This window comes from Homo sapiens, chromosome 12 (assembly GCF_000001405.40).
Source record: "Homo sapiens chromosome 12, GRCh38.p14 Primary Assembly".
Taxonomy (NCBI): Eukaryota; Metazoa; Chordata; class Mammalia; order Primates; family Hominidae; genus Homo; species Homo sapiens.
Window position 1 is genome coordinate 111,412,584 of NC_000012.12, and position 19,367 is coordinate 111,431,950.

Consider the following 19,367-nt stretch of genomic DNA (forward strand, 5'->3'; position numbering starts at 1 on the left):
TATAGAGATATGGTCTGCTTCTGTCACTCAGGCTGGAGTGCAGTGGTGTGATCACAGCTCACTGCAGCCTCGACCTCCTGGGCTCAAGCAGTCTTCCCGCCTCAGCCTCCTGAGTAGCTGGGACTACAGGCCCAGCCACCATGCCAGGCTAATTTTTTTGTATTTATAGTAGACATAGGGTTTCATCATGTTGCCCAGCTTGGTCTCGAACTCTGGGGCTCAAGCAATCCTCCCGCCTTGGCCTCCCGAGGTATTGAGATTATAGGTGTGAGCCACTGAGCCCAGCCTCTCATTTTTGTTTTCTTCCTTTTGCCCTGTGACAGTTTTCCTGATCATTGGTGGGTTTGGGACCTGGACAGAGCTACTGCCGACTCCTGACTCCAGCTGGAGCTGAATGAGACTTTTATATTCTCTCCTCTGGGACTCACTCATTCATCCAATAAGCATTCATTGGGAAGTGAGCCCTTCTTGTGTGCATTTAGGCACTGATCAGACATTTTGGGGGTCCCTTCTGTGTGGGGGTCTCTATAATCACTAGCTATGGGGCCGCTCTGTTTCAGCTTCCCCATCTGTAAAATGGAAGTAATCGTTGGACCTACCTCCTAGGGCTGTTAGGAACCTTGGAAGAGGTAATATTTTGTAAAAGTAGTTAGAAAAATGCCTGATATGATCTTGGCATGGTGCCATGAGCCTGTAGTTACAGCTACTCTGGAGGCTGAGGCAGGAGGATCTCTTGAGCCCAGGAGTTCGAGGCAGCAGTGAGCTATGATTGTGCCACTGCACTCCAGCCTGGAAGACAGAGTGAGACCCTGTCTCTAAAAAGAGAAAGAAAAATGTCTGATGTGTAGCAGACGCTCAGTAAATGCCATTGTTCTTATGGGAGGACTGGTGGAAGGGGCCCAATGAGGGGGGTTCCCAGCCGTTGCCTGGGCAGTGAGGGACCTGGAGTGGGCGCAGCTGTTTTGAGGAAGGCTCCTGCCAGGGTTTGGCCCTGCAGTTGGGCTTCAAGACTCTGACATACAGGACTGTGCGGAAGGTAGGACGGCCCAGGGGGCGGGGGAGGTTGGTTCATGCTGGTTGCCACGCATCTGCCGGGAGAGCAAGAGTTTGCAAATCCAACTGATCTCTTGCATTCATATGTTCATTCATTCAAGAGGCATTCATTGAGCTCCTGCTGTATGCTAGGAGCTGGAGATGAAGCAGGGAATGACTCATGGAACTCAGTCTGTTGGAGAGATAGTCACTAATAAAAGCATCCTGTCAAGTGATAATGTGTGACCAGTGTGCTGAAGGTCAAGTTCAGTTGGGAGCTCAGAAGAGGCTTCTCTTATGTGCAATTGGAAGCAGACAGGGCAGAGGGAATGGCTCATGCCAACACCCACAGGCAGCTGGCGTGACTAGCGGCAGATCGTGTAGGTGGGGCAGGAGCCTGGGTCTGGAATCACAGCTCTCTGGGCATCCTCCAAGCCACGAGGGCAGCGCCTGTCTCACCTGTGTCAAGGCTGGGTGTGGGGAACAGTAGGATTGACCAAGAACAGGTGCCCTTATGCAGGGGTTAGACCCTCCCCCCTTCAGGGACAGGAAGAACATGGTGGCCAAGGGCAGATGTGGCCCCTCCCTCTCCCTTCCCATCTGCCTGACAGCTTTTAGTGACTACTTACTGTGTGCAAAGTACCTACTGTGTGCGGGTCCCAAGGACCCTGTGATGTACAAAACTGTCGACTGTAGCAGGGCACGGTGGCTCATGCCTGTAATCCCAGCACTTTGGGAGGCCAAGGTGGGAGGGCTGCTTGAGCCCAGGAGTTTGAGACCAGCCTAGGCAACATAGTGAGACCCCATCTCTACAAAAAATACAAAAATTAACCAGGTGTCGTGGTGTGTGCCTGTAGTCTTAGCACTTTGGGAGGCCAAGATGAGGATAGCTTGAGCCTGGGAGGTCTAGGCTGCGGTGAGCCATGATTATGCCACTGCACTCCAGCCTGGGTGACAGAACAAGACCCTGTCTCAAAAAAAAAAAAAAACATTGTCGACTCTGCATGGCCCCCTTCCATCGAGGGCAGAGGCACCTACTTGTGCTTTTTGGGGTTTCTTGTGGAGATCGGCTGTGGGGGTTCCACCATGGCCTCATGTGACAGGGGCACCCTTTGTTGCCACTGCCCTGCAGACATGCCCAGCGGGACATGGCCACATGCAGAGACGGTGCCTGTGGAGGGGTGTGTGGCAGAGAGAACCCCATTTGTAGGTTCGCATCTCCACCTTGCATTCCCTTTCATGGGTTCCTTACAAGGTGGATGCCATGCTGCCACCTGGTTGGCAGATGAGGAAATCCAGGTTCAGAGAGGTTGAGTCAGGCATCAGGAGCCACACAGCCAATACGTGTCCCCCTTTGTAATGTGAGCCCTGGGAGAGCAGTGTTCGTCTGTGCTGTTCACCGTGGTATCTCAGGGCCTAGCCTGGTGTCTGGCACACAGTAGGCCCTCAGTAACACCTGAAGAGAGGATGAAGGAGGGCGTGATTGGAGGCAGCAAATGTACCCAGGCCCCTGTGGCTCTGTAGCTTGTGTTGTGCAGCCACTACCCCTGCCCAGGGAGGGAGTCACTGGAGTGGCACTGCTGTTCATTCAGGGTGTGCTGATATCAGGGATCTGGGGCCCAGTTTTGTGCCTGAGTAGGGAGAGCATTTCTTCTCCATCTTGAAGAGCGACATGGATATGTGGTCTCCAGCAGGGGCCCAGGCCCAGCGAGGGTCAGGAGGAAGGAAGGATGGTGCCCACAGAGGTCCCAACTGTTCTGCACCGTGGACAGCAGAGGGGTGGGGGGTCTCAGTGCCATTCTGGTGATGTTGTGCCTAAGGAAAGGCCCTCTGGCCATGGGAGGAGAAGGATGCCCCAGTTGAGATGGGCAGGCAAAGGTCTGCTAGTCCTGAGGGTCCCCTGTCAGTGCAGGAAATCCCTCTGGACCCCCGTGACTTTTGTTAATTTATTCCTTTTTATTTTTTGTTTTATATTTATTTTTGTTTTTGTTTTTGTGTGTGTGATTTTTTTTTTTTTTTTTTCCAGGACAGAGTCTCGCTCTGTCACCCAGGCTGGAATGCAGTGGCATGATCTCAGCTCGTTGCAACCTCTGCCTCCCAGGTTCAAGTGATTCTCCTGCCTCACCCTCCCGAGTAGCTGGCATTACAGGCACACACCACCACACCCAGCTAATTTTTGTATTTTTAGTAGAGGCGAGGTTTCACCATGTTGGCCAGGCTGGTTTCGAATTCCTGACCTCAGGTGATCCACCCACCTAAGCCTCCCAGAGTGCTGGGATTACAGGTATGAGCAGCTGCCCCCGGCCCATTTATTTATGTATTTATTTATTTATTTATTTATTTAGAGACGGAGTCTCGCTCTGTTGCCCAGGCTGGAGTCCAGTGGCGTGATCTCGGCTCACTGCAAGCTCCGCCTCCCGGGTTCATGCCATTCTCCTGCCTCAGCCTCCCCAGTAGCTGGGACTACAGGTGCCTGCCACCACCCCCCGCTAATTTTTTTGTATTTTTACTAGAGATGGGGTTTCACCGTGTTAGCCAGGATAGTCTTGATCTCCTGACCTCGTGATCTGCCTGCCTCGGCCTCCCAAAGTGCTGGGATTACAGGCGTGAGCCACCGTGCCCGGCCCTATGTTTATTTTTTAGACACCAATAATATACTCTCACCGCAACATGGAAATAACAACAATGTCAGCCAGTCTTTATGAAGCATTTTCTACGTTCTAGGGCTTTACAGCTATCAATTCATGCTCATAATATGCCTATGAAGTAGGCATGATCATGGTTCCCCTCTTACAGATGGAGAAACTGAGGTAGAGAGTAATCATGTAAGTCACTTAAGGTCCCATAACTAATAAGTTGTTGCTGGTTTTTTTTTTGTTTTTTTGTTTTTTGTTTTGAGACGGGGTCTTGCTCTATCACCCAGGCTGGAGTGCAGTGGCACCATCTCAGCTCACTGCAACCTCCACCTCCTGGATTCAAGCATTTCTCCTGCCCCAGCCTCCCAAGTAGCTGGGACTACAGGCGCCCGCCACCACAGCCGGCTAATTTTTGTATTTTTAGTAGAGATGGGGTTTCACCACGTTGGCCAGGCTGGTCTCTAACTCCTGACCTCAAGTAATCCACCTGCCTCGGCCTCCCAGAGTGCTGGGATTACAGGCATGAGCCACCGCGCGTGGCTGGTGCTGGGATTTGAACCCACATTCCAGAATCTGTGTTCTTAGCCATCCTTGCTAGAGATAAGCAGTAACAGGCTTCTTGGTTACTTCCCCACCATCCCCACATCCCAATTCTGATTCCTCCCCAGAGGTACCCACTGTTTCAGGATGAGTTTGCTTCTGCCAGACCTTTCTTGCCCACCATTTACAAAATGTTTGTGTACACATAAACATTAGTAGTTTGGTTTTATGTATGTTCATGTAAATGGGATTGTCTAGGGTGTCTTGTTCTGCCGTTTGCTTTTTCGCTTAGTGAATAGCCCTGGAGCTCTCCCAGAGGTGGTGGGGTGGGTCTTCCTCACTCTTTCCCCCTGATGCAGTCTTCCAGCCTATAGATGGGCCAGATTCTTTCACTAGTCTCCAGCTGGTGGGCATTTAGGTTGTTTCTAGTTTTTCCCCATTATAAACGTTTTAGCAGGAAATATGTAGCAGGGAGCAAGTATTTCTCTTGAATACTTAAAAGTGGGATTCCTAGAGCCTGATTGCTCTGGCTAGGACTGTCAGTACTGTGTTAAATAGAAGTGACCAGAGTGGGCATCCTTTTCTCATCCCTGGCCTTAAAGGAAAAGTTGTCAACTTTTCACCATTAAGTACAATGTTAACTGTGTGCTTGTCATATAGGGCCTTTATTTTATTTATTTATTTATTTATTTATTTATTTTTTGAGACAGAGTCATTCTGTTGCCTGGGCTGGCGTTCAATGGCTGATCATGGCTTACTGCAGCCTTGACTTCCTCAGGCTCCCAAGTAGTTAGGACTACAGGTGCACGTGCTGCAATGCCAACTCATTTTTGTGTTGGTTTTTTTGGAGAGATGGGCTTTCACCATGTTGCCCAGGCTGGTCTCAAACTCCTGGGCTCAAGTGATCCTCCTGCCTCAGCCTCCCAAAGTGCTGGGATTACAGGCCTGAGCCTCCGACCTCAGCCTTTATATAGGGCCTTCAGTGTGTTGAGGTACAACATACCATCTATGCTTAATTTGTTGAAAATTTTTATCATAAAGATATGTTGAATTTTGTCAAATACTCTCTCTGCATCTATCGAAATGATCATATGGTTTTTGTACTTCAAAAGCAGGATTCCAGAGTCTAGAATCAATTCTGCCAAATTGGCCATGCCCCTTACAGAATGCCACTTGGTAGGGGAGTGCATGTTTCCCTGCATCTTCACCAGCACTGGGTGTTATGGTCGCGTTGGATTTCTGCTGTGGTGCCCGGTGTGTAATGGGGCCTACACCTGCTTGCCCACCTGCTTACTCCTTGTCGCCCCCCCACCCACGTGTCTTTCAGCCCGGCCGCACCACCTGGGTCTCCGCCATGAACGGGCCTGCCCTGCAGCCCTCCTCGCCCTCTTCCGCGCCCTCAGCCTCCCCGGCGGCGGCCCCGCGGGGCTGGAGCGAGTTCTGTGAGTTGCACGCCGTAGCGGCGGCCCGGGAGCTGGCCCGCCAGTACTGGCTGTTCGCCCGGGAGCATCCGCAGCACGCGCCGCTGCGCGCCGAGCTGGTGTCGCTGCAGTTCACCGACCTCTTCCAGCGCTACTTCTGCCGCGAGGTGCGCGACGGACGGGCGCCGGGCCGCGACTACCGGGACACAGGCCGTGGGCCCCCAGCCAAGGCCGAGGCGTCCCCGGAGCCAGGCCCCGGCCCCGCCGCCCCTGGCCTGCCCAAGGCCCGCAGCTCTGAGGAGCTGGCCCCGCCGCGGCCGCCCGGGCCCTGCTCCTTCCAGCACTTTCGCCGCAGCCTCCGCCACATCTTCCGCCGCCGCTCGGCCGGGGAGCTGCCAGCGGCCCACACCGCTGCCGCCCCCGGGACCCCCGGAGAGGCTGCTGAGACCCCCGCCCGGCCTGGCCTGGCCAAGAAGTTCCTGCCCTGGAGCCTGGCCCGGGAGCCGCCACCCGAGGCGCTGAAGGAGGCGGTGCTGCGCTACAGCCTGGCCGACGAGGCCTCCATGGACAGCGGGGCACGCTGGCAGCGCGGGAGGCTGGCGCTGCGCCGGGCCCCGGGCCCCGATGGCCCCGACCGCGTGCTGGAGCTCTTCGACCCACCCAAGGTAAGTAAGCCCTGCCCGCGGGGTTGCGCACTGCACTGCGCCCTTCGCCTTCACCCTGGGGAGAGCGCGGGCTGGGGAGGTGTGATGGCTTTCCAGCTGGTGGCCACAGAGTGTCCAGAGGGAACTAGGCCCTCTTAAAAAAGAACTTTTAGGCCGAGTGCAATGGCTTATGCCTGTAATCCCAGCACTTTGGGAGGCCGAGGCAGGAGGATCGCTTGAGCCCAGGACTTCGAGACCAGCTTGGGCAACTTAGCGAGACCCTATCTCTATAAAAAATTAGCCAGGTGTGGTGGTACGTGCCTGTGGTCCCAGCTGTTCGGGAGACTGAGAAGGGAGGATGACTTGAGCCCAGGAGGTGGAGGCTACAGTGAGCCGTGATCATGCCAACACACTCCAGGCCTGGGTGACGGAGTAAGACCCTGTCTCTAAATAAATACAATAAAAAAGAACTTTTTATTTTAGAATTTTAGATTTACAGGCCAGGTGCAGTGGGTCACGCCTGTAACCCCAGCACTTTGGGAGGCCAAGGTGGGCAGATCATTTGAGGCCAGGGGTTCAAGACCAGTCTGGCCAACATAGTGAAACCCTGTCTCTACTAAAAATATAAAAAATTAGCTGAGCACAGTGGCGCACGCCTGTAATCCCGGCTACTTGGGAGGCTGAGTCAGGAGAATCACTTGAACCTGGGAGGGAAAGTTACAGTGAACTAAGATTGCACCACTGTATTCCAGCCTTGGTGACAGAGTGAGACTCTGTCTCAAAAAAAAAAAAAATGTTTAGACTTACAGGAAAGTTGCAAAGATAGTAGTGTTCCTTTACACATGGTACCCAGCTTCACCGAAGGTTCACATCTTACGCTGCTGTGTACATTGGTTGTAGCTAAGGAACCAGCACGGGTACATCACTATTAGCTAAACGCCACTGTTCCTTTGGCTTTGCCAGTTTTCCTCTAATGTCCCTTTTCTGTTCCAGCTCGCCCCCCAGGATACCACATGAGGTTTAGTCGTTACGTCTCCTTAGGCGCCTCTTGGCTGTAACAGTTTCCAACCCTCTATTGCTGATAGCCTTGGCAGTTTTGAGGAGTACCAGTCAAGGATTTTGTACAATGTCCAGGGACACCTTTTTGCCTTCACATTTGGGTGTCATGTGGGCTGGTAGCAGGTCACTCTGAGATCCTTGAAAACTCTGACTCAGACTGGCATTGACAGATTGGTGTTTTATTTCCAGAGGGCTCAAAACCTTCAGAGAATTTCTCTGCACCTCCTGTGCCTTGGTGATATTTTGCAAGTTAAAAAGAATTTGTCCTTTGGCAAAACCCCATTGCTACAAAAAATACCAAAATTAGCTGGGCGTGGTGGTGTACGCCTGTGGTCCCAGCTACTCTGGAGGCTATGGTGGGAAGATCGCTTGAGCCCAGAAGACCAAGGCTGCAGTAAGCCAAGATCGCACCACAGCACTACAGCCTGGGTGACAGAGCGAGACCCTGTCTCAAAAAAAAAAAAAAAAAAAAAAAAGTTCTTTTCCTTCACAGCTGGCTTAATTCCTACTGTGCTGTTGAGGCTGAAAGGTCACTGTGTTCTACTCACCTGCCAGGCTCCATCTTTGACTCAGGTATGCATGACAGGACCATATGGCTTTCATCTAATTGCTCTCTCTTTGGGATCCTGTTACGTGGTAGGGCCTTACTCTAGAGCATGAGCAAAACCGATGTGATACTGGCCCTGAGGGGCTCACGATGTGGGTGGAGGAAACCTATGGTTACTCTTTCATTCATTCGACAGATATTTATGGAGCACCTACTATGTGTTAGGCACATGCTAGGTTCTGGGGGACCAGGCGGGCCTAGTGGAGGCTGTTGAGGAAATAAACCCACAGATGAGCATGGAATTAAAAATGGTAAATTGTGTTCTAAAACTGGTAAACTGTGTTCTAAAGGAAAAGCAATGGGGTCTCTGGGAGGATAACTGAGGGGTCCCGGTTTGGCGGTTTGGGAGAGTCATCCAAGAATCCTTTGAAGTAACGTTTTCAAACTGACTGTGGCGTAACATGCAGACCTGGAAGTGCGTGAAGTATGAGACACATCTGAAGCTCTGTGTTTCCGTGTGTGTGCAACGCAAGTGACCAGCACCCCAGAGGGCTCCTTCATGCCTCCCCCAGGCCAGTGCCCTGTACCCCCATACATACCACCTCTTATCACCACAGGTTCGATTTCTCTGTTCTTGAACATCATGTGAATGGAATCACACAGTAGGTTGCCTTTGTTTTATTTTATTATTTTATTTTGAGACAGGGTCTCACTGTGTCACCTAGGCTGGAGTGCAGTGGTGTGATCATGGCTCGCTGTAGCCTCAACCTCCCAGCCTCAGGTTATTTTTGTGCCTCAGCCTCCCCAGTAGCTGGGATCACCGTCACGTGCCACCACTCCCAGCTAATAAATAGGTTGCCTTTTATTTCTGGCTCCTTTTGCCCAGCATAATGTTTTAGAGATTGATCACATTGATCGTACATGTCAATAGTGTCTTCCTTTTTTTTTTTTTTTTTTTTTTTTTTGAGACAAGGTCTCGCTCTGTCACCCAGCTGGAGTGCAGTGGCTCGATCTCAGCTTACTGCATCCTCTGCCTCTTGTCCTCCTGGGCTCAAGCAGTCCTCCCACCTCAGCCTCCCGAGTAACTGGGACCACAGGCACGTGCCACCACACCTGGCTAATTTTTGTATTTTTTGTGGAGATGGGATTTCACCATGTTGTCAAGGCTGGTCTCGAACTCCTGGGCTCAAATGGTCCCCCCACTTCGGCCTCCCAAAGTGCTATGATTACTGGCATGAGCCACCACGCCCAGCCGGGTTTGTTTCTTTTGAGTACTGAATAGATTCCATTGCACAGCTGTCTCCATGTCCCACAACTGGTTTATCCCATCCTCTGTTGATGAATATTTGGGTTGTTTCTATTTTGATTTATGAATAAGGCTGTTATGAAGTTTGCATCTAAGTCTAAATATGGACACACATCCTTTCATTTCTCTCAGGTGGATTCCTAGAAGTGGCATTGCTCAGTCATAGAGTAGGTACATGTTTACTTTAGAGAAATTGCCAGACTTTTCCCAAAGCAGCTGCACCATTTTGTGTCCCACCGGCAGTGGGCGAGAGTTCCGGGTGGTTCCACTTCCCCACCAACACTTGAGCACTTGGTGGGTTTTTTTGTGTTTTGTTTTGTTTTTGTTTTGAGACGGAGTCTCGCTCTGTTGCCCAGGCTGGAGTGCAGAGGCACAATCTCGGCTCACTGCAACCTCCGTCTCCTGGGTTCAAGCTGATTCTCCTGCCTTAGCCTCCCAAATAGCTGGGATTATAGGCGCGTGCCACCACACCCAGCTGATTTTTGTATTTTTAGTAGAAATGGGGTTTCACCATGTTAGCCAGGCACTTGGTGTTAAGAGTCACCGGTGGCTGCGTTCCTGGATCTCAAGGTGGCTTTACTTTGCGTTTCCCTGATGACTCATGGAGGTTAAGCACCTTTTCATATGTTGATTGGTCATCGGAATTTGGTCGTTTGTGAAGTACATGTTTTTATTGTCTGTCTAGCCTTTTTTAAATTGATTTGTAAAAGTCGTTATATATTTTGGACAATTTCTTTGCGTTTTAAAAGTCATTTCCTACCTTTATGGCCTGGCTTTTCATGAAAAGCAGTTTTGTTTTTTTTTTTTCTTGAGATGGAGTCTCACTCTGTTGCCCAGGCTGGAGTGCAGTGGCGCAATCTCGGCTCACTGCAACCTCTGCCTCCTGGGTTCAAGTGATTCTCCTGCCTCAGCCTCCCGAGTAGCTGGGATTACAGGCGCATGCTACCACGCCTGGCTAATTTTTTGTATTTTTAGTAGAGATGGGTTTTCGCCATGTTGGCCAGGCTGGTCTTGAACTCCTGACCTCGTGATCCACCTGCCTCAGCCTCCCAAAGTACTGGGATTACAGGCGTGAGCTACCTCACCTGGCCTCAATTTTTGTATTTTTAGTAGAGATGGGGTTTCACCATGTTGGCCAGGCTGGTCTTGAACTCCTGACCTCAGGTGATCTGTCCGCCTCGGCCTCCCAAAGTGCTGGGATTACAGGTGCGAGCCACCACGCCTGGCCAGGAGGTCACTTACTTTCATTCTAAGTAAATCACTGGGCCTTCCAGGCAGAGGGAACAGCATGGGCAGAGACCCTGAGTGGGGAATGTGTTTAGCATGTTTTGAAGAAAGGACAAGATGAAGAGGCCGGTGTGGTGGGAGCAGAGAGAGGGAGATGGGGAGCGGGGAAGTACATGTGGGTGGAGGACACTGGGAACGGGAGGACTTAGTGTTTTATTCCAAGCACAATCAGAAGCTGTTGGGAAAACGCAAGCACAGATAAAAAACGGTTTTCTCATCATTTGTTAAAAATCTCAAGGCTGTGACACCATGAAAGACAAATAACGGCCCCAATACATGATCTTATCTGTGTGACACTGTAGGGTTTTTATTTTTTTATTTTTTATTTTTTTGAGACAGAGTCTTGCTCTGTTGCCCAGGCTGGAGTGCAGTGGCACGGTGTCAGCTCACTGCCAGCTCCGCCTCCCGGGTTCATGCCATTCTCCTGCCTCAGCCTCCCGGGTAGCTGGGACTACAGGTGCCCGCCACCACACCTGGCTAATTTTTTTGTATTTTTAGTAGAGATGGGGTTTCACCGTGTTAGCCCGGATGGTTTCGATCTCCTGACCTCGTTATCTGCCCGCCTCAGCCTCCCAAAGTGCCGGGATTACAGGCGTGAGCCACTGCGCCCGTCCAGGGTTCTTAACTTTGAAAAACAACCTCAGTGGCTGGGCGCAGTGGCTCATGCCAGTAATCCCAGCACTTAGGGAGACCAAGGCAGATTACCTGAGATTGGGAGTTCGAGACCAGCCTGGCCAACATGGTGAAACCCCATCTCTACTAAAAAATATCTTGGTGGCCAAGCGTGTGGCTCATGCCTATAATCCCAGCACTTTGGGAGGCTGAGGCAGGTGGATCACCTGAGGTCAGGAGCTCGAGACCAGCCTGACCAACATGGTGAAACCCCGTCTCTACTGAAAATACAAAATCAGCCTGGTGTGGTGGCACATGCCTGTAATCCCAGCTACTACGGAGGCTGAGGCAGGAGAATCACTTGAACCCAGGAGGCGGAGGTTGCAGTGAGCTGAGATCGTGCTACTGCACTCTAGCCTGGGTGACAAGAGCGAAACTCCATCTCAAAAAAAATAAGTGAATATATAAAAAATAAAAATAATCTTGGAAGACCAGGTGTTGGGAGCCAGCTGGCCCTGGGTTTGAATAATGAATAAGCTGCTTTCTCAGCTCTGGGGCAAGTGGTATCACCTTTCTGAGACTCAGTTTCCCCCTCTGTACATTGGGGAGTACTCATAGTTCCTACCCCATAGGGCTGTGTGTCTTGGTGGGGAGAGCGCATGTGCCACGTGCCTGGCGCTGGGAGCACTCCATGAGTGCTGTGTTGCTGTTGCCACGGTTGTTGTGGTTTGTTATGGTTTTGACTTCGGGCGGAGAGCCCAGGTTTATTTCCAGTGCTTGCTGGGCCCTCAGGGGAAGGCATCCCCAAGACTCCTGTTCTCTGGGAGCCCTGATGGTAGGGCCCCATCAGATTCCCTAGGGCTTTTCCCAATCCAGGGAACCAGGGAGGTCCCAGAGGGCTTTGCCGTAGCCCTGGCTGGCTGGGGCTCTGTCACAGGCTTGGTGGTTGCTGCGGGGCCTGGGGTGTTGCCTGCAAAGCAAGCAGCCCTGGGGAGGCTTCTCCTAGCCCCTCGGAGCATCAGGTGGAACAGTCCGGGCGGCTCAGGAGCATCCCCTCAGTGAATCTGTGTCCAGGTGATGGGCCAAGGGTGCTCAGACCACAACTCTTGCATGTGCTTGCCAGGTAGTCAACTGTGATCCCTGACCTCTGACCCAGGGGTTGGCTCTGGGAACAGTTTTAAACAAAAGGAAAAGAAAGTTCTGACAACCAGTGGGTGGTGGCGAAGGGCTTAAGCTTTGGATCTGCACTTGCGGTCTGTCACTTAAAGGGTGCCCTGCAGGAGAGGGAGCAGATGTAATCCCAGTGCCAGCCTGGTGGAGGCCCTGCTGCCCAGGGCTGGAAGAGGCTTTGGAGGGAGAGAGCCAAGAGAAGGCAGCTGCCCAGAAGTCTGAGGCCAGGTGGGCTCAGCCCACAGGTGAGCCTCACCTGCAGTTGGGCCCCAGCTCTGCCCCCGACCTGCTGTGTGACCGCGGGCCTGTGGAGCAGGGTGATGGTGTAGCACCTCCAGGGGCACTATGAGGGCTGCGCTGGGAGAGAGCACTCTGTGACTGGGGGTGTGCAAGGGGAGGCCACAGTCTGCCAGGGGTGGGGGTGTGGGTGGAGGAGATGTCTGTGTTTTCCAAGGTCAGGAGAAGGGGAGAAAAGTCCCAGCTTTCTCTGGTCTCAGTGGCCACTGCAGGTGGGCAGCGTGGGCCCTTGGGAGGTGGGAGGGGGCTGCCTTCCCTGGGGTTGGTCAGCAAAGGCCTCTTGGCAGGAGGTGCCGGTCCTGATAGATCTGGGTGAAGGAGTCCCAGGCTGAGGAATGGCAGGTTCACAAGCCCTGCAGTGAGCGTGAACCAGGCAAGTCTGTGGAATAGCCAGGCAGCCTGGGGTTCGAGGGAACAGGGAAAGGTGAGACTACAAAGGTAGTGGAGCTGGATTGCAGAGGCCCTTGTGGGCCACAGTGGGGACTTTAGGTTTTACATTAAGAGCAGTGGGAACAATTGGAGGATTTAGGCCTAGAGGGCCTGAGACACTTGCTGGGGCCACCTGCGGGTGGGAGTGGGTGCAAGGGACCCTCCAGGCTACCTGTGGTCTCCCAGCTCAGGCCCGCGATGGGAGAGTATGACATGATTTCCTCTAGAGACCTCCTTCCCCTGGGCACCGCTGAGCCCCAGGCAGGGCAAGGACAGGGGAGCAGTGTGTTTATGTGGGGGAAAGGTGACATGCCTTTCATCACCCATCATCGGGCTCACGACCGACACTCTTGCAACAAGACAGGTCAGCAAGAGAAAAGCATCACAAAGTTATTGAATCAAAGTTTTATGTGACATGTAGCTTTCAGGAATGAAGACCGAAAGACCCCAGGAAATGGTCTGTCTGGTGTTTAGGTTTGATGGAGCAGGGATAGCTGCGTAAAAATGGGATTGGGATGAAAGGGTGTGATCTACTGAGCTAGACGGAGGCGGGGTCCCAGCAAGGCCTGCTTGCTCCCATTCCTCTTGGCCTCTGCATGGTGTTCCTTCCTCCCAGTGTAGGGCAGGACCTCTCTGGAACTTACAACCTGCCTCCCTCAGACAAGGTAGGTTGGAGAATTTCTCTGTGGATGGCTCCTACCCAGGAAGGTAGGGGAAGGTTAGAGTTATATTTCTAGGTTTTATGGCTGGCTTTCAGGGAGAGGGGTTCTAGATTCTATGACCCACCTTGAGGAAGAATTCTGGTTCCGTTTTTCTTTTATCTTTTTTTTTTTTTTTTTGTTAAGAGAGATGGGGATTTGCTATGTTGCCCAGGCTGGCCTCAAACTCCTGGCCCTAAGTGATCCTGCTGCCTCGGCCTCCCAGTGTTGGGATTACAGGCGTGAGCCACTGTGCCCAGCCGCCTAGTTTCTATGACTCACTTCAGGGGAGAAGGAGGGTGAGAGAGACAGGAAGGCAGAAGGAGGTGAGAGAGACTTTGCTTCTGAGGGCCCCTTCTGAGCCCTTCTAGTCTTCTTTAGTTCAAGTACGTAGCATGCCACAGCACCTTTCTTTGGGGTGTTGTTTTCTGAGCCCCAACATTCATGGCCCTGAATGTGTGCCTCTGTGTGCCAGGTGTTGCCCTAAATTCTTGGACCTTCCCATGAGCTGGAGTTCACTGACCCATTTGACAGATGAGGAAACTGAGGCACTGGGAGAAGCAAAGAGACTTGCCTGGGATCATGAAGTGAAGGGGATCTGAACCCTGAGACAGGAACTCTTGATCCCAAGGGGCCCCTAACCCCAAGCCCTTGGCCCCCTGCTGAACTGGTTCAAACCAGAGAGTGTATAACCCAGCTCCAGGCTGGGCTGGGCCTGAGGTGTGCGTCTCACCTGGCAGTTACAAGAAAAGGAAATTGCACTGGTTGCCACATTTACAACCTAAAGTGGAGAGATTTCACAGAATCCAGACTTCTGGTTTCTCTTATGGAATCCGGGGATCGGCCGGGCACGGTGGCTCATACCTGTAATCCCAGGACTTTGGGAGGCGAAGGCAGATGGATCACTTGAAGTCAGGAGTTCAAGAGCAGCCTGGCCAACATAGTGAAACCCAGTCTCTACTAAAAATACAAAAATTAGCTGGCCACAGTGACGTGTGCCTATAATCCCAGCTACTCGGGAGGCTGAGGCAGGAGAATCACTTGAGCCCAGGAGGTGGAGGTTGCAGTGAGCTGAGATTGCACCGTTGCACTCCAGCCTGGGCGACAGAGCAAGACTCCATCTCAGGAAAAAAAAAAAAAAAAAAAAAAAAAAAAAATCAGAGGATCTGGCGGTGCCAGGCCGGCATTGGAGGGGGTCCCAGCCTGGCCTGTGCTGCCACTGGTTCAGCAGTAGAGCCTGACGGGGAGGCGACAGCAGTGGGGGCCCTGGGGAAGGAGAAAGATTCCAGAAGCAGCTGCTAGGCTGGAGTAGCTGGCCTTGGGCCCCAGACCTTCCCGGGGAGGTGGGGCTCCCATTTCAAATGGAGCATGCCCAGCCTGCCGGGCCTCAGTTTCCACATATGCCCAGGCATGGATTAGCTGAGATGGTCTTGAAGTCCTGCCAGCCCTGGTGGTTCTGGAGGTTGAGCCTCAGTTTCCCTCATCTGTACAGTGGAGGACATGATGGAGTTCTAGCTGTTGATAAATGCCCTTTAAACCACCATTTATTGGGCTTTCCTTATACAGCAGGCACTTTACTGACCTGGCTTCATTTTATCTTCACAGCAGCCCTGTGAGGGTAGCTGCGCCATTAGGCCCATTTCACAGATGGGGAGACTAGGTCTGAGAGAGCTTAGGTGGCTTTCCCAAGGTCTCACAGCCCCTGTGGCTGAGAGGGGCTTGGAACCTGGGCAGTTGGCTGCCCCTGTGAGCAGTGAGTCCTTAGAAGGACTTACTGTCAGTATTATTGATGGCACTGTTAACTAGGGCCCTGCATGGGTGGGGGCACCTGTTTTGGGCTCTTGGACTAGGAAAAGCTCCTGTGGCCATTTTATCCAATGCCACCATTTTATAGATGCCAACACCGAGGCCTGGAGGGGGCTGGCCAGCGCCCCTCACCTGGCACAGAGGACTCTGCCTGGCACATCCCACCCATGGCCTCTGATGCCCAGCTTGGAGAAGTGGTAGAAGAGGGGCTGGGGGATGCCTCAGGGGGACTTAGCCCTCAGCCCTGAGCCCCCCGCTGCATCACAGGCCTGAGTGCCCAGGAGGCAGTGGTCTGGGTAGGAGTGGCTGCGACTCGGGGGTAAATGTGCTTCAGAGCCATCCCCACTCATCCCCTTTCGAGCCAGGTGTCCCTGGTGTGTGACTTGGCCTTGCTGGGCCTCAGTTTTCTGTAAAATGGGAAGTGTCATGGGGGGCAGGCTACGGTAAGCACTGATAGGGCAGGTGAGGGGCAGCCTCGGGCCCACCCTTCTGGCAGGAGACATTTGGGGCACCCAGAAGCCCTGGAACAAGGCCACTCTGACCTTGATTTTGGGAGCACAAAGTCCCCCCAAGAGATAGCACAGGAGCCCGGGTGTCTGATGAGTGACCCATCCCTTGGGGGCCTCAGTTCCTGGGTGTGCCTGGGTCTGCAGGGGAGGCAGAGGCACAGGTGGGCAGCTCCCTCTGGGTGGGCTGTGACCCTGCCTGGGCACAGGAGGGCCGTGCCCGTCCGTCCTTGCCGTGATTCTTCCAGGTGGCACCGCCCTCACACCTCCTTTACAGAGGAGGAAACTGAGACCCGGGGAGGCCACAGGAGTCGGGCTCTGGGCCCAGAGCCTGGGCGGGGATGCAGGAGCCACCCCCATGCCTCCGGGTGTGGGAAAGGGGAAGCAGAAAGAAAGGGACGTCCGCCGGAGGCCTGGCGGTTTCCTCTCGGGGCAGGAGTGCGAGGAGGAGGAGGAGGAGGAGGAGGAGGAGGAAGAGGAGGAGGAGGAGGAGGAGGGACGGCAGGAAGCCGCCTCGGGCTCTGACAGGCGCGGCCCTGGCCTGCCCCTGCCCTTCTGAGCCTGTGACCCGGGGGAAGGCACTTTGCCCTCCCTGTGCCTCAGTTTACTCAAGTAAAAATAGCTGAATGATGGCTCTGGCCCCAGGATCAACTGAGTGCTGTCTGGGAAGCACCTAGAGCTGTGCCCAACACAGCCAGTGTTCGCTGGGGCCTGCAAGGCTTTGCTGCTGCAGGCATCACTGGCGTTGTCATTTTTATTTATTATTTATTTATTTAGAGACAGAGTCTCGCTCTGTCGCCCAGGTTAGAGCAGAGTGGTGTGATTTTGGCTCACTGCAACCACCGCCTCCAGGGTTCAAGCAATTCTCCTGCCTCAGCCTCCCGAGTAGCTGGGATTACAGGCGCCCACCACCACACTCCGCTAATTTTTCTGTATTATTAGTAGAGACGCGGTTTCGCCATGTTGGCCAGGCTGGTCTCGAACTCCTGACCTCAGGCTGTCCATCTGCCTCGGCCTCCCAAAGTGCTAGGATTACAGGCGTGAGCTACCGCGCCCGGCCCATTTTTATTAATTGGTTTTCATGTGACAGGCACTGTGTCCGCCACATCCCATGGAATCCTTATCACAAACCCCGGAGGTGGGGACAGTGATGAAGCCATTTCACAGCCAAGAAAACTAGGCACAGAGAGGTCCAGAAACTTGCCCGAGGCCCCAGAGCTGGTAGGTGGCCAAGGCAGGAAATGAGAGTCCCTGGTGGGTCTGCCAAGGCCGGGGGGCACCAGGGGCAGGGGGTTTGTGTTTAGGCCCCAGAACAGGCAGAGAGAAAGCACCCACCCTCCACCGTCAGAACGAGCCTGTATCCCGGCAAGCAGGGCAGACTGAGCCCTGGTCTTGGCAGGCAGGCAGAGCTCAGGTCCTGGCGGGCACACAGGCTTAAGAAGCCGGTTTTTTCCTGGGCCCACGTCTCCTGGGGGACCAGCGGCAGAGGCTCCTGGGGTAGGAACGGAGGTCCCATCCTCACTCTGTCCTGGGCTGCCATGTGACCCAGGTAGGTCCCAGTCCTCTCTGAGCTATGAAGTGGGTGCCTGCAGTGGCCTTCTGGGAGTGATGGGGAAGGCGGAGGGGGTTGGGCAGGGCTCCTGCGGCCCCAGCCACACACACTGCCGCCCCATCTGCCCCCTTATTGGGGTTCCATGCAAAATCGTTTTTGAAAAAGTGCTTTGCCGCTTAGAAGAAACCCCCGACCGCGCTGAAACCACGGGGGCAGATGGTATCGGGGCGCTTCCTTTCAGCTCAAATTCTGCGAATCCACAGCCTAGAAAGTGCCCTGAATCCAACAAGGGGGGAGGTAATTAAGTTATTATGGTCCATCCCCACCCCGTCCTGCTTACCAGGCCTGGCTGCTCTTACTGGCTTCTTGGAAGTTGGTGTGGTATTTTTTTGTTTTGTTTGTTTTCGAGGCTGGTATTGAGATGAGACCATTGTGGGGTCAGGGCTGTGGGCTTGGAGGTTCAGGGTCAGGGTCCAGGGGCGAAGGGTGGACGCTGGAGAAGGGCAGATGGACAGGGTCAGGTTCAGATCTTGGCTCTTGTATCCTTGCTGTGTGGCTCTGGGCCAAGAACTTGGCCTCTCTGCGCCTCAGTGGCTCATTACAGAAAATGGGATGCCAGCACTTGCCTTAGTGGGTTGTTTTGAGCCAACTGCAGGCTCAGGGAGTAGCTGGCATGATGTGTTCCTACCCTGAAGGGCAGAAAAAGGGGAAGGAGGCCACCAGATCCCACAGGTGGGTCCCCAGGGTCCCTCCCCGGGATGGGCAGCAGCCTGGCTGCTCCCCACAGCAACCCCTGGCTGGCCCCATTGGCGCTGCTGGAAATCCCCCACCCAGTTCTTTGTGAATGGAAAAGGAAACTGATTGCGCTAGAAGAGGTCTCCGAGTGCCGGCCGGGGGTGGGTGGCGGGGGGGGCTTCCTCTCCCAGTGCAGGAGGGGCCACCTCAGCTTCCTTTCTGGGGCCCCATACCCCCTTTTTCCTATCTCCCCTCTGAGTTGAGGAGGAGGCTGTGGCCCCCGCCCACTGTTTGGCCTCTGGAACCACTGGGTGACAGTGTACATCGGGGCGATTAAGGGCCACCTGGCCTCTGGACCTCCCTCGCTGTGGCTGCTGCCTGGGACCCCCCACCCCATGCCTGACTCGAACCCCAACCTCAGCTCTACACACAGGGGCACCACTGTAGGAGGAGAGAGAAACCTCTCTCTAGGGAACCACCTGGAAGGGGGCCCTGCCCTGTCTTCATCTGGGTACCCCATGTAATCTAGGAAACTGTCTTTAACTTGCCGAGGGCCTCCATGTCTGAGTTCCTAATGTTTTTTATTTTGCTTTTTCAATTAATAAAGCTCATGGCAGAAACTATTTAAAGAAAAAAAAAAACAGTAACAGAAAAACCTCCCACAATCTCACTACCCAGAGAGAACCAGCATTTCCATTTTGGTAGATGTCATTATTGTCATTTTTGTTTTGTTTTTGAGACTGGGGGACACTGCTCTGTCCCCCAGACTAGAGAGCAGTGGCGCCATCTCGGCTCATTGCATCCTCAACCTCCTGGGCTCAAGGTGATCTTCCCACCTTAGCCTCCCAAGTAGCTGGGACTATTTAATGCTGCTATTAGCATAGACATTAGCAGGACACCATGCCCTGCTAATTTTTAAGTTTTTTTGTAGAGACAAACTCTCACTATGTTGCCTAGGCTGGTCTTAAACTCCTAGGCTCAACAGTCCTCCCGCCTAGGTCTCCCAAAGTTCTGGGATTTACAGGCGTGAGCCACCACCACACCCAGCCTCTTCTCTGTCTTTAACTTTGCCTCCGCCTCCAAATTCCAA

At 53.4% G+C, this 19,367-nt stretch overlaps 1 protein-coding gene across 9 annotated transcripts in view, besides 4 other annotated features; it reads left to right on the plus strand.

Moving 5' to 3' along the window:
• SH2B3 (SH2B adaptor protein 3) overlaps positions 1-19,367 on the plus strand; it is a 46,894-nt gene that overhangs the window by 7,854 nt on the left and 19,673 nt on the right. For 8 of the 9 annotated variants that reach the window (XM_011537720.4, XM_047428025.1, XM_047428026.1 and 5 more), the window contains exon 2: positions 5,536-6,294. In XM_011537720.4, the coding sequence (XP_011536022.1) occupies positions 5,563-6,294 (732 nt within the window). In that variant the 5' untranslated portion in view covers positions 5,536-5,562. Of the gene's footprint in view, positions 1-5,535; positions 6,295-7,825; positions 7,906-19,367 lie in introns of those variants that run through there. The other variant, XM_047428028.1, reaches the window with a different exon arrangement.
• Positions 616-1,463: an enhancer, noted in NCBI's record as "H3K4me1 hESC enhancer chr12:111851003-111851850 (GRCh37/hg19 assembly coordinates)". NCBI's record gives its function as "activates a minimal SCP1, AML or CMV promoter by ChIP-STARR-seq in primed H9 embryonic stem cells {active_cell/tissue: H9 hESC(primed)}" and the evidence as "EXISTENCE:reporter gene assay evidence [ECO:0000049][PMID:30033119]".
• Positions 5,084-5,783: an enhancer, noted in NCBI's record as "H3K27ac-H3K4me1 hESC enhancer chr12:111855471-111856170 (GRCh37/hg19 assembly coordinates)". NCBI's record gives its function as "activates a minimal SCP1, AML or CMV promoter by ChIP-STARR-seq in primed H9 embryonic stem cells {active_cell/tissue: H9 hESC(primed)}" and the evidence as "EXISTENCE:reporter gene assay evidence [ECO:0000049][PMID:30033119]".
• Positions 12,928-13,503: an enhancer, noted in NCBI's record as "H3K27ac-H3K4me1 hESC enhancer chr12:111863315-111863890 (GRCh37/hg19 assembly coordinates)". NCBI's record gives its function as "activates a minimal SCP1, AML or CMV promoter by ChIP-STARR-seq in naive H9 embryonic stem cells {active_cell/tissue: H9 hESC(naive)}" and the evidence as "EXISTENCE:reporter gene assay evidence [ECO:0000049][PMID:30033119]".
• Positions 18,151-18,460: an enhancer, noted in NCBI's record as "active region_7032". NCBI's record gives its function as "activates an Ori minimal core promoter by ATAC-STARR-seq in GM12878 lymphoblastoid cells {active_cell/tissue: GM12878}" and the evidence as "EXISTENCE:reporter gene assay evidence [ECO:0000049][PMID:35858748]".